Raw genomic sequence first — 27,577 nt, 5'->3', positions numbered from 1 at the left:
AGATAGGGTCTGGCTCTGTCACCCAAGCTGGAGTGCGGTGGCATGAATGTGGCTCACTGAAGCCTCAACCTCCCTGGCTTCAAGCAATCCTCCCACCTCAGTCTCCTGAGTAGCTGGGACTACAAGAGTGAGTCACCACACCCAGCTAATTTTTGTATTTTTTGTAGAGAAGGGGTTTCACCATATTGCCCAGGCTGGTCTTGAACTCCTGAGCTCGAGCAATTGGCCCACCTTGGCCTCCCAAAGTGCTGGGAGTGCAGGCGTGAGCCACCGCACCAGGTCATGTGTTGGTTTTTAATTTTAAAAATGGCCACTAAGTCTAGGGGCTGGATATTTCTTATTTCCTCCCCAGATCCACTTTCCACTCTTCTCCACCTGCCTGGGAAGCTGACATGTATGGGCCACATCGTGGACTTCCTCGGCCTCTAGCTTCAGTTGGTTTGATCAGTGGTGAGCACTGACTAGCAGGAGACTCGAGGCAGGAAGGACAGTGCAGTTGAGGTGTTTATGCCCCTGGCTCACGCCTGTGGGACCTCTGAAGTCCCTAAAATGAGAGTGTCAGCTCCTCCTCAGGGCCATCTCCACACAGCCCTCTCTGTCTCCAGTTTTTCCTGAATGCCCCTCTCCTTACTCCTTGGACCTGGGTATGGCTATACGGTCAAGCTGTTAGCAGTCTAGGAATACTGCCATGGGACTTGTAGTTTCCTTTCCTCTGTTCACATTTTTGTAAATATTTCTGCTAATAAAGCTTTTCTTGTCCTAATTTAATTGTGCCATCTCTATCCTACTAGGACCATGACACAGACATCTATTAACTACTTCAGAGATATCCTCCTACAATGGAATGATTTCAAGTTGGTGGCATTCTTAACCATGCAAATCTAGAGAAGATGCTTCAAGAATCAACAAAAGCAGCTGCTGTTTCCCTATCAGTATTGCTTTAAGAGTTTATGTGCCAAAGGAATTTCAGTTTTAATCCTCTAATCCTCTAAAGTTCTAAATCCTCAGCTGACAGTTTTGCCATTTTGCTCCATTTTATATATAAAACAAGCAGTGCTCGAGTAGTCCTGCAGCCTTCTCCACTAGCCAGATTAGAACACTGCTTAATGCCATGGCTGTCAGCCCTAGTGACCCAGACAAATAACAGGCAGCAGATGGACTACATCGAAATGCAAACAAAGACCCTTAACTCTTGGTAAGCTACACCTTCCATCCAACAGACACTATTATCTAAGAAATTATCCCTTATCATTAATAAAATAAAACAGAGAAATGAGCAAAGGCGGCACTTACCCACATTCGTAGGGCATTTTACAAACACATCTTGAATTCTGCAGTTTCTCCCAGCGCTGACATTTAGGCACTGCCTGTGTTAACGGATTTTCTAAAAAAGGATAAGGGAGATGTGGTCGTTAGGAGAAAAGCCTCTTCATAGTAAACAAGGTATTATATGAATTGCTGGACCAGGGTCTGTAGTATTCTCCAACTGCAATGCATTTGCACAGTAACAATAGTAATAATAATCAAGGTGTGATACATTTTACAAGCTATAGAGAGTTTCTAGAGTCACATTACAAATAACTGCATTGGTAGTAATAGCTACCATCTCGTGAACATTTATATTTGTCATGCACTTTTTATACATTGGGATATTCATGCCTCCCTAACACATGCCCACCTAAGAAATCAGAAAATTAAGAGTAAAAAGAGTTAGGAAGTTGGTGCTACTTCACACATTTAACAAACTGGCCCAGGCAGCATTTAATTCTACATTGGTCTGAATCCAAGGACAATAAAGTGGCTCCCTTTCAAGAAGCTGGTGCTTATAAACTGTTTGTTGTTTGGACTGCATTCTGCCTGCTGTGCCCATAATGAGGCAAAAAGCAGCAACATCACTTGCCTTATACATGGAGAACTCCCTGGTGTGCCGAGAAGATCTACAATAACCTCTTACATATGAATGTCTAAGTGGTCTCCCTCAACAGTGAATAAATGTCTGGAGGTCATTACGTTAATAAAATTCTTTCTATAACTTTGTGTTTTATAGAAACTGACAATTCAGTCATCATTTCAGTTTTGACAGGTAAACACCGTGGTCCAACTTACAAGAGCATAATGTGACTGCCATCCCCTCAGCTATCCCTGATTGCAATGGGAATGATCTAAAAACATCCTGACTTTTTTCACCTCGTAATAGCTTTATTACAATGAAATTCATTGCCATACACTTTTGCATCATAAAACTAGATAGTCATTTACTATATCTATAAAGGTAGTTTATCTGGAGAATATGTTTTTATGAATACACAAACTATGAAATACTTCCTTACTTTGGAAAATTCAAGAGCCTTGGACATGACATTACAATCTTGTGAGCATTCATAAACCTGTAAAAATGATGGCAATGTGAAGTATGCCTGCCATGGTCAGCAGTCTCAATAACAAGATTCATTATTAAAACACTTCTCTTGGCTGGGCGCGGTGGCTCACGCCCGTAATCTCAGCACTTTGGGAGGCCGAGGCAGGCAGATCACTTGAGGTCAGGAGTTCACGACCAGCCTAGCCAACATGGTGAAACCCTGTCTCTACTAAAAATACAAAAATTAGCCGGGCATGGTGGCACATGCCTGTAATCTCAGCTCCTCAGGAGGCTGAGGCAGGAGAATTGCTTGAGCCCGGGTGGTGGAGGTTGCAGTGAACCAAGATTGCGCCGTTGCACTCCAGCCAGCCTGGACAAGCGAGACCTTGTCTCAAAAAAAAAAAAAAAGCACACTTCTCTTTAAAATGGTATTATCCTAAATGCAACGTAGTACCCTGAACTGGACCCTAGAACATAAAAGAGACATTAGTGGTAAAACATGAGGTATTTGAATAAAGTGTATAGTTTAGTCAATAGCATTGTACTAATATTAATTTTTTAGTTTTAACCAAGTTGTGTTATGTAAGATGTTAATATTAAGGAAGATGGGTGAAGGGTGTGTAGAAATTATATCTGTGACTTTGCTGAAATCTAAAATTATTCCAAAATGAAATTTTTTAAAAATGGTATTATCTACATCAGTGCTTCTCAACCAGGGGCAGTTTTGTCCCCCAGGGGACATCTGGAAATCACTAGGGACATCTTTGGTTTTTACAACTGCAGAATGTTATTGACATAGGAGGATGCTACTGTTGGGTAGAGACCAGGGATGCTGCTAAGCACCCTGCAATGCACAGAAGAGGCTCCCATAGCAAAGAATTATTAGACCTAAAATTCCAATAGCGTTGAGGTTGAGAAGCCTTAATCTAGATGTACCAAAACTTAAGGTCAATGATCAAGCCATGTAAATTAGTTCTGCACTGTGGTTAAAAATTTACTTTAGGACAAATCCTGAAATTTTAGATTTTAAAAGTTTGCTTAAACTATTATAATGTCAAGCCGGGCGCAGTGGCTCACGCCTGTAATCCCAGTACTTTGGGAGGCCGAGGCGGGCGGATCATGAGGTCAGGAGATCGGGACCATCCTGACTAACATGGTGAAACCCCGTCTCTGCTAAAAATACAAAAAAAAATTAGCCGGGCATGGTGGCGAGCACCTGTAGTCCCAGCTACTCAGGAGGCTGAGGCAGGAGAATGGTGTGAACCCGGGAGGCAGAACTTGCAGTGAGCTGAGATTGTGCCGCTGCACTCCAGCCTGGGTGACAGAACGAGACTGCATCTCAAAAAAAAAAAATGTATTATAATGTCTTTGTGGAAAAAAAAAAAAACGATAGAATTACCTAGCCCAAAGAATTTTTGCATTTAAGAAGAACATAGCTTTGTTGCCTTTACAGCTTGGTTAACCAAGTAAACACACTCTTAAGGCCCACCGAAAGTATGTGCTTTTGCTATTTTAAAAGCAAATTTATTCCCATCAAGACTAACTACGGGGACAGTAGGGGAAAGTGAGGAATTAATGTTTAATGGATATAGAGCTTCAGTTTGGAAAGATGAAAAAAAATGTGGTGATGGTTGCACAACAATGGGAATTACTTAATGCCACTGAACATACATTTAAAAATGGATAAAATGGTAAATGTTATGTTATGTATGCTTTATTATAATAAAAAAAAAGACTAAATACTAGAACAGCCAACATTTTAAAACATCAACTTTGGAAGCTGGTAAGTCTTGGATTTTTTTGTTTGTTATAGGCTTAGAAGTAGTTACTGTTATTCACATCTTCAGAAAAACACACAGATCTGAAAAACATCCTTAATTAAAACCCACTTTAATAGAATTTTCTACTGGGTAAATGAAACTTCATACCAAACTGTGCTGTAAAATAGCTGAAGTAGCATTTTAGACAGACTAGTCTACAATCTCATTTGAACCAAAAGTGCAACCTCATCAACTGTATATTGTTCTCTTTCATTTTTAGAATTGTAAGTACTGGTCCATGACTTTAAATATTCCAAGTAAACTCATGTTTATACTTCAGTGTTTACAGAACACAAAACAACTGTCCTCTGAGATGGAGCTTTGATAACTTAACAGCACATCAGGACAGGCAGGGAGGGCACTCCAAGGACGTGTGTCTTGCCTATTGTTCTGCCTCTCATCCACTTCACATCACAGCCCATATCTACCATCAGTATCTGAGTGCTCCATACCCTGTCGCATGGAGAACTTAGTTAGAAACATCTAATTCACCTCACACCATCACCTGTGAAATCTAGTACTTCATCCTCACTATTAAAAATAAATTTCAGCGTTTAATTAAAAATCACATACTAGAGAGATAATATCACATAAAATAGTATGCAAGTGAGTTTTTCTTCATTCTCATTTTTGTTACAAATACAATATTTTCCATTTATTTAAAAAATGTAAACAAAGAATAAATAAGGGGTTATTGTCAAACAAATCTATCTCATCTAAAATTACCTCTAAAAAGAAATAATTTGGCTTTCTAAATCCTTTCTACCTTAGGTTCTTAAAAGACCATTTTAATTTTCTTGGTGTTAAAATACTGGATTTTTGGGTTTCCACATTAAGAACAATTTCATGAATCACAACACTTTTCCTTCAATAATGTCTGCTTTAAAGTGTTAAATGAAAATGCTTTCTAAATTTTCAATTTCAGAAATACTGATAAACTCTTTGAAAGCCCAAAAATGAAACATACAGAACTTTAAATAAATTATGATCTCAACTCTGTACTTATGAAAAATGCAGGGGAAAAAAATCTAGAGGAAACAAACAAACAAACAAAAAACAGATTTTAAAAATCCTTTATTGTCTTGGCACCATAACAGATATAAAGCTAATCTTTCACAAGGATGATTTAAGTTAAAAGTTTCAGAATCACCAGGCTATCCTTGCCTTTCCTTGCTTTCATGAGTCTTTCTGTGCCATGTGAAGAAAATCTGTTACTCAGTCTACAAACTGACCCTATCTTAAGGAGCAAGAATGGAGGGAATGACTCACAGCTATGGTGATACAGTACCATGAAGGTCGCCACAAGGACTCTCACTTGCCTGGGTACAAGTGTCCTTGGATAGACATGGAAGCCACTCACCTTTTTGTACACAGCGGGCATTCTTCATCTCAGGACTCCACTTAAGGCTGGAGCCACAGAGAAATGCTGAAGGACCTTCTAAGGACATGCCACCTGAACAGGAAACAGTCACCTTCTCACCAACTGTGTAGAAAGGTTTTTGGGGGTGACTCTGTATGCCATCCATCAGTACAGGTAGAACACAGGCAATTTCTAAAGATAAAAGAGAGCAAAATATAAGGGTCGTTGCTCTCCTAAACCATCTTTTTAAAAAAGTCTTATGTGATGCAGACACACTTGTTCTGCTTTTTCATATTAGAGGACAAGGAGGAAGACGTAAGTTCACTGTTAGGGTGGACTGAAAGACATGTCACACAGAGCCTGGCACGTAATTGACCCATGAATATCTAAAAACCAAAACAGCTCCCCCTCTCCCACCCCTCCCCTCAAAACAATGTGACAACTTAAAATGAACAACCCCAATAGAGTCCTAATGCCCAGCCTACTGTTGAAACCAAACTTTTCACAGCTGTCACTTATTTATGTGCTCTAGTGATGTTCCACCAGGAGAGTTTCATTAACTTTCATCCAGTTGGATATTTTGCCGTCTGAAATTATTAAAACACCACTTTTATTTATTTATTTATTTTTATTTTTTAGGGACAGGGTCTGTCTTGTTGCCCAGGCTGGAGAGCAGTGATTATTCATAGGTCTAATCAGTGTATACTACAGCCTCAAATTCCTGGGCTCAGAAAAGCAATGGGGAAAGGATTTCCTGTTTAATAAATGGTGATGGGAAAACCGGCAAGCCATATGCAGAAAACAGAAACTGGACCCCTTCCTTATACCTTATACAAAAATTAACTCAAGATGGATTAAAGACTTAAATGTAAAACCTAAAACCATAAAAACCCTAGAAGAAAACCTATGCAATACCATTCAGGACATAAGCATGGGCAAAGACTTCATGACTAAAACACCAAAAACAATTGCAACAAAAACCAAAATTGACAAATGGGATCTAATTAAACTAAAGAGCTTCTGCTCAGCAAAAGAAACTATCATCAGAGTAAACAGGCAACCTACAGAATGGGAGACAATGTTTGTAATCTATCTATCTGACAAAGGGCTAATATCCAGAATCTACAGGGAACTTAAACAAATTTACAACAGAAAAACAAGCAACCCCATCAAAAAGTGGGCAAAGGATATGAACAGACATTTCTCAAAAGAAGACATTTATGCAGCCAACAAACATATGAAAAAATGCTCATCATCACTGGTCACCAGAGAAATGCAAATCAAAACCACAATGAGATACCATCTCACGCCAGTTAGAATGGTGATCATTAAAAAGTCTGGAAAGAACAGATGCTGGTGGGGATGTGGAGAAATAGGAACGCTTTTACACTATTGGTAGGAGTGTAAACTAGTTCAATCATTGTGGAAGACGGTATGGCAATTCCTCAAGGATCTAGAACCAGAAATACCATTTGACCCAGCAATCCCGTTACTGGGTATATACCCAAAGGGTTATAAATCATTCTACTGTAAAGACACATGCACACGTATGTTTATTGCAGCACTACTTACAATAGCAAAGACTTGGAACCAACCCAAATGCCCATCAATGATAGACTGGATAAAGAAAATATGGCACATATACACCATGGAATACTATAACGGGTTAATGTCCTTTGCAGAGACATGGATGAAGCTGGAAACCATCATCCTCAGCAAACTAACACAGGAACAGAAAATGCATGTTCTCACTCATAAGTGGGAGTTGAACAATGAGAACACATGGGCACAGGGAGTGGAACATCACACACTGTGGCCTGTCAGGGGATGGGGGGCAAGGGGAGGGAAAGCATTAGGAAAAATACCTAATGCATGCGAGGCTTAAAACCTAGATGATGGGTTGATAGATGCAGCAAACTACCATAGCACATATATACCTATGTAACAAACCTGCACATTCAACACATGTATCCCAGAACTTAAAGTAAAATTAAAAAAAAAATTAAAAACTCCTAGGCTCAAGCAATCCTCCTGACTCAACCTCCTGAGTAGGTGGGATCACAGGCACATGCCACCACACCCAGCTAAAGCACCACCTTTAAACTTGCAGACATAAAAGTGTTCAGTGTTCCCTGACTTTTCATCTGTATTCTTTCTTACTCAATTACATTCATTAGCTCAAATAGCTTACTTCAAAAAAGAACAGAGAAAAAGAAAAAACACACATAGTATAAACAGCAAGTCAGAATTCATGATTAAAAAAAAAATCTTGCTAATATCCCTAATGGACTTTGGACAATATTCTACAAAGTATTGCTGTATCTTTACAGCACTGTCATCAGAAAACCCATTCATTCATTTATTCATTCAAAAACAGCATTTGATGGATGCACTGAAAGCTTTGACTTCATCACAATGAGATATATCAGTGTAGCAAAATTGAGCTAATACTCCATGAATATATACAAAAATCCACAGCACTTTTTGAATGCCTATATTTTGCCAAATATGTTGTGCACTGCTTGGGACACAGCAAAGTACAAGTCACATCTTATGCCTTCCAAAACTTCATAATCTAGTATTGAATCTGCTTGTTTCTAATGCGTTTGCTGTTTTCACATTAAATCTCCTACCAAGACAAAAAAAATAGAAAGACTGTACAAAATTAAAAGGAAAACTATTTCTGAAAGAATCAGAGCACTAACAAGGCAGTGCAAGTTTGAAAGTCCAAGATTTCAGAGAGAAGGGAAGTCTAATGTGGTGATTACATTTACATTTGGTAACACATTTTTCCTTGAGGTATTTGTAAATTAAAAAAAAAAAGAAAATATGCTGAAAGGCTGCTAAACTGAAGAGAAAACCATAGCTCAGAGGCTAAAAAGATAAACAGCTTTTAGCAGTCTCACAGGACCAGGGTTTTAAAAACTAGAGTCCAGTCCTGTCAAAAAGAAGGGGCCAGGTAGAAAGCCCATACCTTCAGTTGGAATCCCTTAATGGCCACATCCTTGGAATAGAGATAACCCAGACATAAGCCAGCCTCACTGGTTGCCATAAACAAAAGTTAGTCTTCTCTAGAGGAAGATAGCATCATCCAATTTTTAAATTTTCATACGTAAAGTCTGACATTCAATTAAAACTAATTTAACATTCAAAAAGACAAGAATTGACCAAATTCCAACCAAAAAAAACAATAGAAACAGACTTACAGTAACAGACTTACCTAAAGAATGAAATTAACAGATACAGGCCCTGAAACAACTGAAATTAATATATTTTTTTAAATGACAAGATGGAGAATTACAACAGAGAATTAGAAAATATAAAACAGTAAACATAAATGTTTGAAGTAATTGATGTTATTTACTCTGATTTGCTTATTACACACTGTTTACACATATCAAAACATCGCTTAAAAACTATATTTTAAGTGAAAAATTTTAATATTTTTAAATATAATAATGTAAGAATATAGGCTCATTCATTATAATAAATATACCACATTAATGGAAGATGTTAATACCTAATAGGGAAACTGGGCGGGAAGTAAGGAAGTAGATGGGCGCTCTCTGTACTTTCTAGTCAGTTTTTTGTAAGCTAAAACTGCTCTAAAAATGAAGTTATTAATTTAAAAATTCACTATGCAGTAAAAAAGTAGACAAATGAAACCTCTAAAATTGAAAAATAGCCAGGCACGATGGCTCACACCTATAATCCCAGCACTTTGGGAGACTGAAGCAGGCAGATCACTTGAGCTCAGGAGTTTGAGAACAGCCACGGCAACATGGTGAAACCCCGTCTCTACTAAAAAGTACAAAATTAGCTGGGCACTGTGGCAAGCGTCTATAATCCCAGCTACTCAGGAGGCTGAGGCAGGAGAATTGCTTGAGCCCAGGAGGCAGAGATTACAGTGAGCCAAGATTGCACCACTGCACTTCAGCATGGGTGACAGGAGTAAAATCTGTCTCAAAAAAAAAAAAAAAAAAAAAAAAAAAAATATATATATATATATATATATATATATATATAAAATATATATAATTGTTTTAAGTTGAAAAATAAAATTGATAAAATTTAAAACTCTATAATAGAGTTCTTAAAAGGAGATTATACAGAAATATACAGAGAATTAATAAATTGGAAGATAGGTCAGTTGAAAATATTTAGAATGAGGCCAGGTGCGGTGGCTCATGCCTGTAGTCCCAGCACTTTGGGAGGCCCAGACAGGCAGATTACTTGAGGTCAGGAATTCAAGACCAGCCTGGCCAACATGGCAAAACCTCATCTTTACTAAAAATACAAAAATTAGCCAGATGCAGTGCTGCATGCATGTAATTCCAGCTACTCAGGAGGCTGAGCCAGGAGAATTGTTTGAACCTGGGAAGCGGAGGTTGCAGTGAGCCGAGATCGCACCACTGCACTCCAGCCTGGAAAACAAACCATCTCAAATAAAAAAAAGAAAAAGAAAAAGAAAATATTTAGAATGAAACAGAGGGGGAAAAGATGGAAAACAAACAAAAAAATGATGTTAAAAAATATAATGGTCCAAAAAATGTATAATTTGTGTCCCATAAGGACAAGTGAGGAAGAATGGGACAGAAGCAATGTTTTAGGACATAATGGTCAAGAAATGGTCTAAAACTGACAAAAGACTTAAAGCACAGGTTCAATAAAAGCCCAGAAAAATATAAAGAAAATTATACCTAGACATCAGAGTAAAGTTGCTGGAGAAAACCAAAAGCAAAAAACAATTAATAATACCCTTTTCCCACCCCAGCACTACTGGGCCTGCAGGTCTCTGTCAAGCCACAAACGCAGGTCTCTGTCCCACAGGATGGGGTTTGTTAAAGTTGTTAATAATAAGGCCTACTTTAAAAGATACTAAGTGAAATTTAGAAGATGACAAGAGGGTAAAACTGATCACTATGTTCGGAAATGCTTGGTGATACAGGATAAAAATAAATACAGCACACCCAAATACAGGATGATATTTTATGTAACAAACAGAGTTATCATTTGTCAGATTGCTTAGACCTGTGTAGAAGGGAACGTGATAGTCTGTGCAGTGTATGCACATGAACTGCCAAAATATGGTGTGAAGATTGGAGCCAAGATCACTCCATTGCAATCCAGCCTGGGAGACAAGAATGAAACTCCGTCTCAAATAAATAAATAAATAAATAAAATAAAAAATAACTGCTAGCTTAGAATGTCTTACCTAATAAAAATATCCTGGCCAGGTGCGGTGGCTCATGCCTGTAATCTCAACACTTTGGGAGGCCAAGGCGGACAAATCATGAGGTCAAGAGATGGAGACCATCCTGGCCAACATGGTGAAAACCCATCTCTACTAAAAATACAAAAAGTAGCTGGGCATGGTGGTGCACGGCTGTTGTCCCAGCTACTCAGGAGGCTGAGATAGGAGAATCGCTTGAACCCAGGAGGCGGAGGTTGCAGTGAGGCAAGATCACGCCACTGCACTCCAGCCTGGCGATAAGCAAGACTCCATCTCAAAGAAAAAAAAAAAATCCTTTGAAAAGTCAAGGTAAAAGACAGACATTTCATCAGTCGGTTCACAATAAAGGAAAAGAAGCCCTTCAAGTAGAAGTTTCTTATTAATCTTTTCAAAGAACAAACTTTTGGCTTTATTAACTCCCAACTAGCAAATATTCATATTCATATTCTATTTCATTTGTTTCTGCTTAAGGATTCCAAGAGAAAGAGAGAGAGAGAGATTAATAAGTAAAAGACAATGCCCATCAGTCAATGAATGAGTGGATAAAGAAACTGTGGTATATATATACGATAGAATACTACTCAGCCATAAAAAGGAATTAATTAATGGCATTCTCAGCAACGTGGATGAGACTGGAGACTATTATTCTAAGTGAAGTAACTCAGGAATTAAAAACCAAATATTGTGCCAGGCATGGTAGCTCATGCCTGTAATCCCAGCACTTTGGGAGGCCGATTCAGGCAGATCACGAGGTCAGGAGTTCAAGACCATCCTGGCCAACAGAGTGAAACCCCATCTCTACTAAAAATACAAAAATTAGCCGGTCATGGTGGTGTGCACCTGTAGTCCCAGCTACTCAGAAGGCTGAGGCAGGAGAATTGTTTGAATGTTGAACCCAGGAGGCAGAGGTTGCAGTGAGCTGAGATTGTGCCACTGCACTCCAGCTTGGGCAACAGAGAGAGACTCCATCTCAAAAAAAAAAAAAGAAAGAAAACCAAACATTGCATGTTCTCACTCACAAGTGGGAGCTAAGCTATGAGGATGCAAAGGCATAAGACTGATGCAATGGACTTTGGGGATTCAGAGAGAAAGGGTGGGAAGGGGGTAAGGGATAAAAGACTACAAACTGGGTGCAGTGTGTACTGCCTGAGTGACGGGTGCACCAAAATCTCACAATCACCACTAAAGAACTTACTCATGTAACCGAACACCATCTGTTCCCCAAAAACCTATGGAAATTTTTAAAAATTAAAATTAAAAATTAAATTAAATTAAAAAATAAGAAAAAGACAGACAAACCGATTATTTTTAATGGACAAAAGACATAGACAGCCATTTCTCCAAAGAATATAACCAATGGCTAACGAACATATGAAAACAAGCTTAACATTATTAGTCATTAGAAAAAATATAAAAATAGGCTGGGCACAGTAGCTCGCACCTATAATCCTAGCACCCTAAGAGGCCAAGATGGGTGGATTGCCTGAGTTCAGGACTTCGAGACCAGCCTGGCCAACATAGTGAAACCCTGTCTCTACTAAAAATACAAAAAATTAGCAGAGTGTGTTGGCACACACCTGTAGTCCCATCTATTCAAGAGGCTGAGGCACAAGAATCACATGAACCTGGGATGTGGAGGTTGCAGTGAGCCAAGATGGCACCACTGCACTCCAGCCTTGGCAAAAGAGTGAGACTCTGTCTCCAAAAAAAAAATATATATATATATATATATATCACTATACACTCACCACTGTGTCTGATGCTATCAAGTGTTAGTAAGGACAAAAGCAAGCTTGATTTATCAGATTATGCTAGAGATGTAAATCAGTACAACCACTTGGAAGGCTGGCAGCCTCCACTAAATCTAAATGTATGTATACCCAATGTATGAATACCCAATTACTCAGAAATTTCACAATAGGTATATTCCCAAAGGGAGAAATATATGTATGTGTGTGTGTGTACACTAGCGCTTTCCTCATATAGCACAGAGCAACTGATTTAGGAAAAATGTATCACTGCAGCTCGGCCTATTCATTTGCTGAACAAACTTATATTGCAAGAGAGATGGAAGCCAGAGTAGTTTTAGGGTGGTGCAGCATGCAGATGCTGTTATTCAGATGCCTCTATCCAAACAGAACAGGAGGCAAAGCATTTAAGAAAGTTGATTGATTGTGGTACATCCTGAGTAACTGAACTCTAAAGAATATCCTAATGGTCTTCATCTAAAGAGAATTCCCTGGCCTACTTTAATTTGCACCAGAAAGTTTTAAATTGCAATGAAATTGACCTCACTGAATGGGAACATTACCAACTAGAGAAGGCGGAGGGCTTATTCAAGTCGCTCCTAAAACTTGAACAGGATCATGTCAGCCTTACAGGAAAGGAAGGCCAACACATGGGCCATATGGTGAGTGTTATTTATCTTGATTCATTCTCTTCCACGTAATTTTCTCATCTTAAATTATATACAACTGACGCCACTCACTCTGACAATGCATTTCCCCAACAAGCCACCGTAAATCTTCTCCACATCTGGCCACTGGGTTTCCAATAAGAGAGTATCCTTCATTGCAAGTGTACACTACATTTTTCCCCACAGGAAACATTGTACCTTCATCCTAAACAAAAGTAAAAGATGGAAAAGGAAAGAGTTTGTCTATTTTGCATTAACAAAACGTTTCTTTACATATATTCAGTCTATAAATCATAATCATCAGGCAAGCTACATTTAATTGATTCAGAAAAGTGTCTATAAAAACATTTTCCCCTATATAGTTAGTAACACTAGCACCACCATTAATTGAAATAAAACTATTAATACCACTGTCTATAATGTATTGATTGCTCCCAAAATACCAAGGACTATACTAAGCATTCTACTAAAATTACATTCTATTAAAATTATTTGGACACTGTCCAAATAATTTCTTTTCCTTTAACTTTTAGGAAAAATCAGTTCTTTATTAGATTTGGAGAACATCTTTGTCAGTCAACTCTTCATATTAAGGTATTACCAGGCCGGGCATGGTGTCTCATGCCTGTAATTCTAGCCCTTTGGGAGGCCAAGGCAGGTGGATCACCTGAGATCAGGAGTTCGAGACCAGCCTGGCCAACATAGTGAAACCCTGTATCTAATAAAAATACAAAAATTAGCAGGGCATGGTGGTGCATGCCTGTAGTCCCAGCTACTCAGGAGGCTGAGACATGAGAATCACCTGAACCTGGGGGACGGAGGTTGCAGTGAGGCGAGATAGTGCCACTGCATGCCAGCCTGTGTGACAGAGCAAGACTCTGTCTCTCTCTCTCTAAAAAAAAAAAAAAAAAAAAAAAAAAAAAAAGTATTATGAGCTGTTCATTGACAATACTGCCATACTGCCTACAAAATGTCAGTATGAACACCCAGAAATTTTCCAATCCTATTAGTATGTTCATGAAAGTTTAAGTTTCTTGCTGATAACTTTTAGGGGAAGCATAATGTTGATCTTCTCCCATCCTACCCTCCTACTCCACACTATATGTATGGAATGCTGCTGGGGCTGGGTCAGATTCAAGAACGTTTCACTAACCTATAATGGCAGGAAGCGAGCTTTCATGGCGAAGCAAGGTGGAATTTGAAGTCTGAGCCTGGGGATGGATGAAGGGTAATCACACTCATTTAGGGTCTCTCTTTCCTTACCCTTCTCATTGTCTTCCACCCAAGGGGATGGTGAAAAACTCAAGCCTGGGAGAGGGCTTGGAGCTCAGGCCTTGACCAGCTCTGCTCTAGGGATTAGAACAAGATTTCCTGATATCTCCTTCCCATTGTCAGTATGTGCTTCCTGGCCCACTCTGGCTCTATCATGGAAGTTAGTAGAAAACAGAATGGGCCAGGCTGATGCTGAGGTTTGAGGGAAATGGGGAGGAGCACATGTTCTGTTTCGACTCATGATCCTATTCCTTCCTCCACCTTGCAAAAACAAAACAAAACAAAAACTTTCATATGAGGAAGTCTGATTCAACAGTGCACAAATGCGGCTGTATATCATAATCACTTGTAGAAATTACAAAATAGACTCTTAGGCTGTACTCCCAAACTATCAAATCAGAAAACGTGGAGGACAAGTGAGAAAGAGCCATCTCTAGTTTTAAGTTCCCTGAGTCATTCGGATGCAGCCAGTCCACAGAGCAATATTTGGGACTCCTGGCTCCTAAAACAACACCACACACACTGCAGTTGGGGACAGCAGCCTCATGGTTTGCTAACATGCATGAGTTTGCTTGGCCTATTCTCTGAGCATATGTTCCATTCAGGAACTCCATGAATTACGGTGGCTGTGGTAGGACAGAATGGGTGGTAGAGATGCTAGGTTGATTTTCTCTCTCTCTCTCTACACAAACACACACACACACTTGCGTGAACACACAACTTTCATCTCCCAATAGTGCCTACATTTGGGGAAACAGTAAATTTTCAGTGAATGCATGTTCAAGGGCCTGGGGTTTGAAAAGCAAAATCCCTTGTGAGGAAAGCAGTGCTGGTAACATGGAGAGAGTCCTCATGAACAATATCCTGTGTGAGCCATGAAGAGGCACCACTGGGGCTTCAGGCCAAAGCCTCGTCATAAAGACTGAGAGCAGCATTAACGAAAATGTCCCAAAAGCCAAGAACAACAAAAGTCCCTAGAATGACAAATGGCAGATGACTACTCTTCTTTCCTGAACAGGAAGGTTCAATTGCTCAAAGTAGAATGATCCATATCTCACTAGACTCTAGCTAACTGTCTTATTGACTCCTGGAATAAACCTAATACTTCATCCCAGGGCCTACAGTTATGAGGGGGAAAAAAAAAAGTCAGTGGCAAAAATAAGAGAAGCTCTGTGAGTTAAAGAGCAAGCTTGTAGATTCGCAGTTTGGTGTTTAGGGTGGCAGTGTTCAGTAGCCCTCTGGCATGATTACATTTTTGATTCACTGGGTGGCAGTGTTGATTTCCCACACCATAGAAGATACACTGCCTTCTGCAGAATTCACATCACCTTGGGCCAAAGAAAAAAAGTCACACACTAAAACCCTCACCACTAAAACTAAAATGCATATATAAAATATTTTTGGCACGGCTTCACCATGGAGGAAGAAAATAGGTTATGGGCTCAGCAGAGAGATAGAAGTTAGAGCATTATAAAGGAAAAAAATATCTTTCATAACCAACTTGAACAAATCCATCTTTCAAGGCAGGAGGTGATGGACAGAATTCTGTTGGAACCAAAGACAAAGGAAAGCAATGTGGTTCAAGCAACCTGGAAGGAAAAAAAATGTAATTAATGTGATTGATTTGCACAGTATAATAATTATTTTGCATTACGTTGGATTTCTCCTTTGTATCTGAAGGAACTCCATTCATTTAAGTACATTGGTGTAATATTTTTATCATTCTTAGAACCAAATATCTGCTTACATCCTGTGGTAGAAAACTCAAACATAAACTCAAGCTAACAAAAGACAGTGATTTAAATAGCTGCTAGGTCAGTAGTATGAAAAACAAACAGAAAGAATGAAAAGAAAAAGAAAGTCTTTGGCCAACATACTACTGTCTGCTTTCTAGAGGTCACCTGTTTCAAAACCTATTTTTCCTCTTGCCGTTTGGTTCTGAAATTCATTTAATACAGAATTAATTCTGTATTGAAAATAAGGTATTGGACGAGATGCGACAGCTCACGCCTGTAATCCCAGCACTTTGGGAGGACAGGGCAGGCAGATAGCCTGAGGTCAGGAGTTCCGAGACCAGCCTGGCCAACAAGGTGAAACCCCATCTCTACTAAAACTACAAAAATTAGCTGGGCACAGTGGTGCACATCTGTAATCCCAGCCACTTAGGAGGCTGAGGCAGGAGAATCTCCTGAGCTTGGGAGGCGGAGATTGCAGTGAGCTGAGATCCCACCACTGTACTCCTGCCTGGGTGACAGAGTGAGACCCCATCTCAAAAAAAAAAAAGAAGAAGGTAATTAGAGTTAGTGACCCCAAAAGAGAGGTAACACAAAATTATAACTACCTTTTACTAAGCATTTACTATGTGTCAGGCACCATGGCAGTTGCTCTGCATATATGCATTATCTCAATTCATACAGCAACACCATGAGATACATGGAAAAAACAATGGCACAGAAAGTTCAAATAACTTGTCCAAGATTATGAACTAATAAATACCAAAGCTGGATTTACGTATAGTCAATTAGGCTCCTACAATTGTGCACCTTCTACCTCTCACAAGGCAATAGAGAAATACGAAGTCTTAGTGTCTACATTTTTTTCTGAACGTGTATAACTGAAAGCACATTATTTGGTGAAAGCAAGTTTAAGTAAGGCTTGGAGTAAGAATCTTAAGCCTAAAAGGAAGATGGGAGAACAGAAGTCCTAATATCATCCCACAAGTGCCAATCCTGACACTTTACCATCACTATGACTATCTCTTGGGGGAGCCTGTAATAAAGATAATGATAATGATGACATCTGTCATTAAACAATGGTTTTCAAGACTGCCTCTAAGGTCAAAATAACACTAATATTATCTCCACTCTAGAGACACAAAATCTGAGAGAAAGCAGTACAAATAGCCTGGGAGTGTGGCCTCCTTCTCATCTGAGTTCCTTATAATCTTGCCATACTTTGAGGAAACTGTGGCAAGTTTAATTTTCCTATTTGTACTGAGAAAGATGATACTTCCCCTCCCCTGAGCACCAAGAGTGAAAAATCTCTTCAATGACTTTCTTAGGATGTACCTCTCCTCCTAGCTTTATGTCAAAAAGCAGGAAAAATGCATCCTCTCAGAGATCTCCTCCCAGACCCTCATCCTCCCAGAAACATGTGCACAGCAGCCAGCATCCTCTTCCCACCATAGTTCACATGCTTGCCAGCTTCCTCAGTCAAGAGATACTGATTAATGCCAGATTACAAGGCACCAAAGATTTAGGAATAAGGCTTCCCAACTTATTCTTTTTTCTTTATTCACCCTACGCTTCTACCAGATACCCAAGCACCTCATCTCTTTCTTCAACTCACATGACCTTCAAATTATCTTACTAGAATATTTTGCCAAGTCCAGTCAGCAAAAATTACTAAGGACAATGTAAAACAGTAGGGTGTGGCATAAAGAATTCTGACCCAGGGCTATGATTCATCAACTGAGCATTTTTGAGATGGCTTTTGCAGGGTCCTGACAAATGGGAAGTTTAGTGCCAGGCTACTGGGTTTACCCACCAAGATATTCTCCATCTCAAGCAACTGGCTCTATGCTTAATCCAAAAAATAAATGAGTAAGAATGGTGTATCTGAAAAGTAATACAAACTTTAATGAATGCTTAGTAATCACTTTGGGTGCTTAATCTCATTTAATTCTGACAGTAACAATAAACAGATAATCTTAGTATCAGTTTACCTGCTATTATCATGCTAATTTTAGAGATGTGGCCAGTAACTTGCCCAAGGTCACACAGCAAGTAGGTGGCCAAAACGAATGAGAATGATCGTATCCACTCAGCAGGACTACTCCCAGTTACCCAGCCTTTTGTAACACTTGTTTCAGGAAAACCTGAAGCACACAGAGCAAGCTCCTTCAACTCACCCTAGTGCTAAGGGACAAAGCAGTCCCTGGTAAAAATAGCCATTTAACTTCTAAATCTCTCGACAGCAGCAATCATGTGTTCCATGCTAACTGCAGAGGGTACTGTGTTCTATGCAACTGCCAGGGGGTCGGGTCTCCATTACCTCAAGTGCTCCAGCTCCTCATCTTCGCATTGTGTGCTTTCTGTCGTTTCTCCAACGCAGGATCTCCCACCCCCACTGGGAGGTGGGTTATTGCATTCACGGCTTCTTGTTTTCTTCCCTTGGACACAGGGGCTCCAAGAGGACCAGCAACTCCAACCTCCATCAACCCCTCCTACAAGATGAGAAAGAGGTTGATCAATAAGTTCTTAAAGAGGGCTTGGGAACTTAGTGCTATGCTTCCTGCTAACAAGTTAATTGGAGGAAGAGATCATTCTGGATATTGATTACCTTCACTCTTCATTGAGGTTTTCTACAATGTTCAGAATGGCTCTACATACAGACTAGGAATGTCCATATTAAGGTTGCATTAGTGAACCTCTTGCAATAATATCCTTAATTTGTTGATTATTTTACAACTGTTTCAAAGCACTTTTACGTACGTTGTATCATTTATTTACTTCTCACAACAGTGAATGGAGGTGGGCAGGAAATGTTACCATTCTATTTAATTAGACAGCAGGAGAGTGTGCTTCCATTTTAACAGATAAGGGGAAATCCAAGCCACAAAGGAATGAATCACAGTCGTAGAATTTTAATTACCAGAACAGGCCACTTGGAGAGACATTTAGGGATAAGGATGCCTTTGTAATGCTTGTATATAAGCCTCTATAGTTTAGTCTTATATTTATTCATTTATCGTTCATTTAGTGACTTCTATGAATCAAGCCTTTTGTCAAGCTCTGGGAATAAAGAAAGGAATCAAACAGCCCTGACCTTAAGTAATGAGCGTTCTAGAAGAGACAGACATGTACATAAATATAGAAACAAAAGTATATAGATTGTAGTCATACTTTGACTACTCATAAAGTCAATTTCACATAGCCCTGTACTAAGTGCTTGAAGCACCATATACACCGTAGAGCACACAGCAGATGTTCAACAAATATTTGTGAGTGATTGATAGTACATCACACAGAATAGAAATAGAAATGTTTCAAAGAGCATGCCATCAGAAAGATTAGGCAATGCAAATATACAAGCTCCACAGACCTTTGCTACAGCAAAACCTTATTGAGGTAATTACAGAGGATGAAGGTGTTTTAATCATAACTCTATTCTAATAGAGAATGGGAAGTGGAGGGCACAGTGGGGCTGTTACTTCAGATGGATAAATAGAGATAACAGCAAAGAGCCTTAACCACAGTAGCTATAATCTGGAAGTAGGAAAGGGAAGGAGGATTCTAAATTCATTTGAGACTTCATCTCTTCATACACAAAGAAGCATCTCAAGGAGCAGAGAAACAGGGTAATTCCCTTTCAATGTGTACAGGGTGGCTAGAGAAAATTCACCCCACTGACCTGCTTGATTCCCTACGAGGACTCCTTGCTCACACGCCGCACCAAATGTGTACGGTTTGCAATGGCACAGACAATGGGTCCCCTCAACAGTAGCCAAACCACCATTTTGACAAGGCCGGCAATGACAGGGGTCAAATTCATCCAGATACTCTTCAAGAGCCCATTTCAGGTATAGTTTTTTCACAGAGGCACAAGGTACTTCCTTTACCAGCTCATATAAAGGTGTCAGCTATAGAGATAAAGACATTATAGTCAGTAATCAGGGATTTAGGCAAGAATATTTTGCTTTTCATGTTTAGGCACGACTCTCATTAAAACAAAATCAAAAGCCACGGGCAAGTTTGTTACAATTGTTTCTTATGCAAATACAAAGGAAAACAGTGCACTCTCTTTGCAACAAAATCAAGACAAACTTAGGGAAAATTAGGGTCACATGGGGGAGGAATTTTTTATATATCTTCTGTGCATGCGTAAGATTTAAAAAAAAAAAAAACAAAAAAAAACCAGCCCAGGCGCGATGACTCACGCCTGTAACGCCAGCACTTTGAGAGGCTGCGGCAGGGGGGATCACCTGAGGTCAGGAGTTCAAGACCAGCCTGACCAACATGGAGAAACCCCGTCTCTACTAAAAATACAAAATTAGCAGGGTGTGGTGGCGCATGTCTGTAATCCCAGCTACTTAGGATGTTGAGGCAGGAGAATCACTTGAACCTGGGAGGTGGAGGTTGCGCTGAGCCAAGATGATGCCATTGCACTCCAGCCTGGGCAACAAGAGTGAAACTCCATCTCAAAATAAAATAAAATAAAATAAAATAGGACATTCATTTTCTAGTTACAGCAAAGAAGCAAGTGAAATTAAATTTAGAATTAAATTTCCTGACTGAGAGATTTAACATATCTCTTAGTGGAAATCATGGATTCTTTCCTCATGGAGAAATTTAAAACAGGTAAACATTATTACTCTGCGTTGGCTATTTCAGAAGAAAAGCAACCTTGAAATCACAGATGTGCTGACTCAGTTTTAACAGTCTGCTCTCCCAGGAACAGAAATGTCTCTGCTTTGTAGCATTTGCCAGTTTCTGCAGTGTAACTGCTCTCACCATAGCCAATTTCAGGCTGCCACCATGATGCCTGAACTGGGAAGAGATATGCACCATTGGTTCCTGAGAGCCCAAGCTGTTGCGAACACGATGGCTTTGCATAGTCATGTACCTGTACCTGCATAGTGCCTTTTCTTTCTCTGTTCCTTTTTTGCCCTGCTAAAAAGGTAGCACAAATATGATAATTTATAGTCCTATGTGGAAAAGTACATGGAGACTGTTAAAGAACATGTGTCTTTCTCTAATCAATAATTTAATGTAATCAAGAGTTTCTAAAGATTTGTATGGGATGCTGACAATGAATACAGGCCATTTTGAATATTAACAGATGGTCCTTTAAGATAAGACTTTCTAGGAAAATTTCACCCTCCCTCCCTCACCCATATTTGGAAGCCAATGGGCAATTTATGGGTGTTAGGAGGGGACTTGAGGACCTATTGCAATTTTTGAGTTTATGAAATGTATCTCTGAAAATCAGGCTTTGCCTGGAACATTGACTTTCATGCAGGGAATAAATCATAGAATCGGTTCTGCTATAATGTTTGTTTTGATAAGGGGAATTTGTTCCATTGAGATTGATATACTGAAAATTTTGAGTATAGCACAGATTTGAGATTTTCTTATGTACAACTATGTCCACATGAAACACAGGGTGAACACAAAATGCTTCACACAGTGGAAACAAGCCACATAGGAATATACAAAACTCATGCATACGCATGTGCGTTGACACACACACACACTCACACACCCCTCAACATCTATGTCAGTTCATTTCCTGCATTATAAACTATACTGTTCATGTCTGCTGTTACAAATGTCTGTCGGGTTTCTGACTGGCGTCCTTCTAGCACTTCACAGTAACTCACAAGCCGTAAACCTTCCAAAACCCAGAAAGCTTCAGGTCTTTTTCTAGGTAATGCACCACACTTATTGTAGTATAGATACATTTTTAATAATTTAACATGTATAAAACCATGCAAGTATTTTTATTGGCACCTGTCTTTTTCATATGAGTGTGACAGATGAAAATTTGAGTGCTGTGTCTCTAACCTGATTTTTTTTCCTTAAGCCCTTTATTGTGCAATTTTGCATAGCTCAATGATTTTTAGAAACACATTTGTTGCATTATAAAAGAATTGATGATAACAATAAAACATGTTAAAATTCTGCCAGCCAACTTGTTACTATCCTACTTTGTATGACTTCAGGAGCCCACAAGCCATGGCCACACAAAGAAAGGTGATAGGAACATAACAGAAGGCAAAACTTCATGCCTTCCCCTTGCTAGAATTTATAACTCCTCTGAATTAGGGACCAAGGAAGACATAATCGAACTTAGATCAAAAGTTAAAAATGCAAATTTTGTCATTAATTTATCTTGGAAATTGCAAGACATTTAACATTTGCAACTAAAATATGAGTATAACACACCTTCTGTTTCTTATTATTATGTGTGCATTCATTTTACTCTACAAAATATAATTGGGATACGGAAAATGCTAATTACAGCCATGTCTGTTTAACCATCTTGATTTAACCACCTTCGTTTTCCTCATGCAAATAAACATGACTGCTTCCTATTGCTTTAAACAAAGCCTGACATACCTTTTGTTTTATGACTTGAGGAAGATTAGTCACAGATTCTGCCCAGGCAGAATATCGCCTTTTGTTTCCAGCAGGATTGTCCAGCTCTAGGTAACTAAGGCCAGATATGAAGCCTGCACCTCCCCCTCTGATGAACGGTTCTCCTCGCAATACATTGTTCTGGGTTCCTATACAGAAGAAAGCAAATGAAAAGTGAAAAGTCTATCAAGTATTTAAAAAAACTATCAAATTGTATGACATCCTGGAAAAAGCCAAACTATGGAAACAGTCAAAAGATAAATTGTGGTCAGAAAGAAGGGAGGGATGAATAGGCAGAGCACAAAGGATATTTAGGGCAGTGACACTGTTCTGTATAATACTACAATGGTGGGCACATGTCGTTATACATTTGTCAAAAGTCATTAAATGTTCAATATCAAGAGTGAACCCTAATGTAAATTATGGACTTTGGATGACAATGTGTCAATGTAGGTTCATCCATTGTAACAAATGTTCCACTCTGTTAGGAGATGTTGATAGTGGGGAAGGCTTTGCCTGTGTGGGAGCAGGGGATATACAGGAACTCTCTGTATTTTGCACTCAATTGTGCTGTGAACCTAAAACTGTTCTAAAAACTAAGCTATATTTATTTTATTTTTGGTGGTTTTCTTTTTTTTTTTTTTTTTTTTTTTTTTTTGAGACAGTATTCTCACTCTGTAGCCCAGGCTGGAGTGCAGTGGCATACTCAATGCAAACTCTGCCCCCCAGGTTCAAGCAATTCTCATGCCTCAGCCTCCTGAGTAGCTGGGACTACAGGTGTACGCCACCACACCTGGCTAATTTTTGTATTTTTAGTAGAGATGGGGTTTCACCATGTTGGCCAGACTGGTCTCGAACTCCTGGCCTCAAGTCATCTGCCTGCCTCAGCCTCCCAAAGTGTTGGGATTACAGGTGTGAACCACTGCACCTAGCCAAAACTAAGGTATATTTTTTAAAAAAGAAAAACAACTCTTGCCTGAGAGCAGATGATATTAGGGAATTATTGTTCATGTTCTTTATATTTTTAGTGTGAGTATCACATTATGCAAGAGAATGTTCTTCTTAGATGTTACATGCATATATTTAGTGATGAAGTATTATGATATCTGAAACTTACTTCCAAATAGTTCAGCAAATATTATAAACACTTTAAATACATAATATATATTTCAAAGAATCAGTCAATATTATCAATATTATATGTACATATATGTAGTGAAATTACAAAATACTAATTGTATATAGGAAATGGGTATATGGGTATTTATTACAACATTCTTGTCTATATGTTTTAAAATTTTCATAATAAAATATTGGAAGGAAAACAGTTTATTGCATCTGGTATACTAACAATGAATAAAATAAGCTGTTAATTAACAGGAATCTATTACTTAACGCATGAAAAGTGTTCTGAAAAGTGTGAAATGCTAATGGAAGCTTCTTTTCCATTTATGTGCCTCATAATTTTAGAAATACTTTATCTCCATTTGTAATGGTCATGACAAGAAATTTCCAACCTTGCAGATCGGATTTTGAGTGGTTTTCATTTCCTTGTAACTGTCCAAATTTTGCAATTTCATAAAATAAGCATATTGTACTCATATTCAGAAATCATTAAAGCCTGACAGGTTCTTTTTTTGTTTTTTTATTTTTTATTTATACACAATAATGGTACATGTTTATGGGGTGCATGTGATATTTTGATACATGCATAGAATGTGTAATGATCAAATCAGGATATTTAGGATATCCATCACCTTACCATTTGTTTGTGTTGGGAACATTTCAAATCTTGTCTTCTAGCTATTTTAAAATATACAATAAATTATTGTTAACTATAGCCACCTGACTGTGCTATCAAACACTAGAATTTATTCCTTTTTTTTTTTTTTTTTTGAGACAGAGTCTTGCTCTGTTGCTAGGCTGCAGTGCAGTGGCACTATCTCAGCTCACTGCAACCTCTGCCTCTCAGGTTCAAGCAATTCTCCTGCCTCAGCCTCCCAAGTAGCTGGGACTACAGGCGTGCGCCACCACACCCAGCTAATTTTTGTATTTATAGTAGAGACAGGGTTTCACCTTGTTGGCCAGAATGGTCTCGATCTCTTAACCTCATGATCCACCCACCTCAGCCTGCCAAAGTGCTGGGATTACAGGCCTGAGCCACCACGCCTAGTCGAATTTATTCCTTTTACCTAACTACAGGTTTATACCCATTAAGCAATCTCTCTTCATTGACCCCTCCTCCTCCCCAGCTTCTGATAATTATCATTCTATTCTATCTCCATGAGATCAATTTTTTTAACCCTCACATATGAGAACATGCAATATTTGACTTTCTGTGACTGTAAATCTTAATAGTTTTAACAAATCACCTGATGCTTCCTCGTCTTCATTGTTAGCTGTGTTTTCAATATATACAGTAACACTTTTTAATGCAGTGAATCACGTCCCATCCCTGTATTACTGAATCACAATCATCTGAGGGAACTGCAGATTTCTTAGTCCCCACCAAGACCTACAGGAGAATATCTGAGAGAATGAGTAACCTTTGGAATCAGCATTTTAAGAGAATCCCCCAGGTAAGCGTCATGCATATTAAAGTTTGAGAATCACTGCCTTAGCCAGCACACCTATGTAAGAACTGCAGATTCTTTGCTAAGAATGATGGTTTCCAGCTTCATCCATGTCCCTACAAAGGACATGAGCTCATCATTTTTTATGGCTGCATAGTATTTCATGGTGTATATGTGCCACATTTTCTTAATCCAGTTCGCAAGGACAAAAAACCAAACACCGCATGTTCTCACTCACAGGTGGGAACTGAACAATGAGAACACTTGGACACAGGAAGGGGAACATCACACACCGGGGCCTGTAGTGGGGTGGGGAGAGGGGGGAGGGATAGCATTAGGAGATATACCTAATGTAAATGACGAGTTAATGGGTGTAGCACACCAACATGGCACATGTATACATATGTAACAAACCTGCACGTTGTGCACATGTACCCTAGAACTTAAAGTATAATAAAAATAAATAAATAAATAAATAAATAAAAAGAATTACAGATTCTACCATCATGATGTTTTTTTAAGGCTTTAGCCTCCCTTTCCATACCCCAGTGAGCTCTCTGTTCCAGCTAACTCTTTTCCCCTAGAAAAGGCAGCCCAATGCAAGTCAAGACCCCAGACTGTTAAGCCAAATTTTATGCATTTGCATTTCATATCTAATTCTTATTAACGATAATCTTGGGCAACATTTCTGGGCCTCAGTGTCCCTGTCTGTAAAATGAGAATATGAATAATACTTAACACATAGGTAGGAGGACTACACTGGTTTATTTTTGTACATCACTTAAAATTGTGCTGGCACACAGTAGGTGCCCTGTGTTTGTTAAATGTGAAATAAAATAAAATTGGTAAGCAGCTTCCAACTGCCAGCCCAACTGAAGACTGATGTCAACATCTTCTCAAAGCTCTCACTTCCATTTCTATGTTCAGATCATTCTTTTTCCACTTCATTCAAAAACTTTTCCTCCTCTGACATGTCAACTTCACGAAGACAAGCACTTTCTCTGGCATATTCACGGCTATATCTTGAGTGTCTAAAACGATTCCTGGCACATACCACAGACTCCATAAATAGTTGATGAATGAAGCAAGTGAATGAGTACATAAACCTGGTTTTACTACTTATCTTCCTCCTTCTTGCACTCATCTACCAATATCCCAAGAATCCCTGCTTCTTCACTGAGAACCATGACACATGGGTCAGTGTCCACTTTTGCCATTACCCCAAGAGGATTTAAACTCTGATACTGCTCAGTCTATGGCCTCACACAATGCATTGCAGTCTCACTTACACCCCTACCATACTATGGAATCTCTTCCTTTAAAAGCAACTTTCTCTTCAACGTTTATTCTCGATTCATGGGGTACATGTTCAGGTTTGTTACCTGGGTGGATTATGTGATACTGAGCTTTGGAGTGTGATTGATCCCAACACCCAGGTAGTGAGAGTAAGTACCCAATAGTTAGTTTTTCAACCCTTGATTCCTCCCTTCCTCCCCTCTCTAGCAGTCCCCAGTGACTATTTTTGCCATTTTTATGTCCATAAGTACCCAGTGTTTAACTCCCACTTAAAAGTAAGAATGTGCAGTATTTGGTTTCCTGTTCCTGCATCTGCACAGCAAAGGAAACTATCAATGTGTAACAGACAACCCACAAAATGGGAAAAAATATTTGCAAACTATGCATCTGATAAAACTCTAATATTCAGAATATATAAGGAACTTAACTTAACAAGTAAAAAATAAATAACCCCATTAAAAATGGACAAAAGACATGAACGGACACTTCTCAAAAGCAGCAACTAAGTCTTAATCACCAAATCCAGTGAACATTTTTTGGTCCTTATCTTCACTCTGTTGACCTCACTCCTCCTTTACTTTCCATCTCTTGTTTTTTAATCCTGCCAAATGTTTCCTTCTCCATTCTTCTTTATTCTCTACAACTTTACTTAGGTAAACTTTTATTTCATCACTCCATGTATTAAATCTTTTAATGGAACCCAATAGCCATCAGAATGAAATCCAAACTCCTTAACATGGTACCCTCACAGTCTAGATCAGTTTACCCTTTCAGTCCTCCTTCAATCACCCAAAGACTAGCATACCACCTTCCCCCCATCTCCACTGCCAACCAGCATGCACCAAAAACCTGACCTCCACGGAGTAGCCATGTCAGCAAGTGAAACTGAACTGTCTCTTGATATTGTCACTTGTCTAGGCTTGTTTGCCAATCATCATAAAGGAGAAAAGTGCTGCACACTGATAACATATTTATAATACAGAGGAGATAACCTGGTGAACTCCCTATCCTGTGTGATGTCTCACTACCTTGACACATGAAAGAGAGAGCAGAGACAAAAATTACCAAATAGATTTTTTAAAACACAAAGCAGAACCCCTGATAAAGCCT

General features: G+C 39.0%; 1 protein-coding gene across 1 annotated transcript in view; it reads right to left on the bottom strand.

Moving 5' to 3' along the window:
- C7 (complement C7) overlaps positions 1 to 27,577 on the bottom strand; it is a 75,147-nt gene that overhangs the window by 6,510 nt on the left and 41,060 nt on the right. Inside the window, exons 10-16 of the mRNA NM_000587.4 lie at positions 22,581 to 22,747; positions 19,873 to 20,101; positions 18,514 to 18,685; positions 15,962 to 16,049; positions 13,261 to 13,393; positions 5,540 to 5,731; positions 1,294 to 1,384 (exon numbers count right to left, since the gene is read on the bottom strand). Of these exons, the coding sequence (NP_000578.2) occupies positions 1,294 to 1,384; positions 5,540 to 5,731; positions 13,261 to 13,393; positions 15,962 to 16,049; positions 18,514 to 18,685; positions 19,873 to 20,101; positions 22,581 to 22,747 (1,072 nt within the window). The remainder of the gene's footprint in view (positions 1 to 1,293; positions 1,385 to 5,539; positions 5,732 to 13,260; positions 13,394 to 15,961; positions 16,050 to 18,513; positions 18,686 to 19,872; positions 20,102 to 22,580; positions 22,748 to 27,577) is intronic.

Source organism: Homo sapiens, chromosome 5 (assembly GCF_000001405.40).
Source record: "Homo sapiens chromosome 5, GRCh38.p14 Primary Assembly".
Lineage (NCBI taxonomy): Eukaryota > Metazoa > Chordata > Mammalia > Primates > Hominidae > Homo > Homo sapiens.
This window is presented reverse-complemented; position numbering and strand designations above follow the sequence as displayed.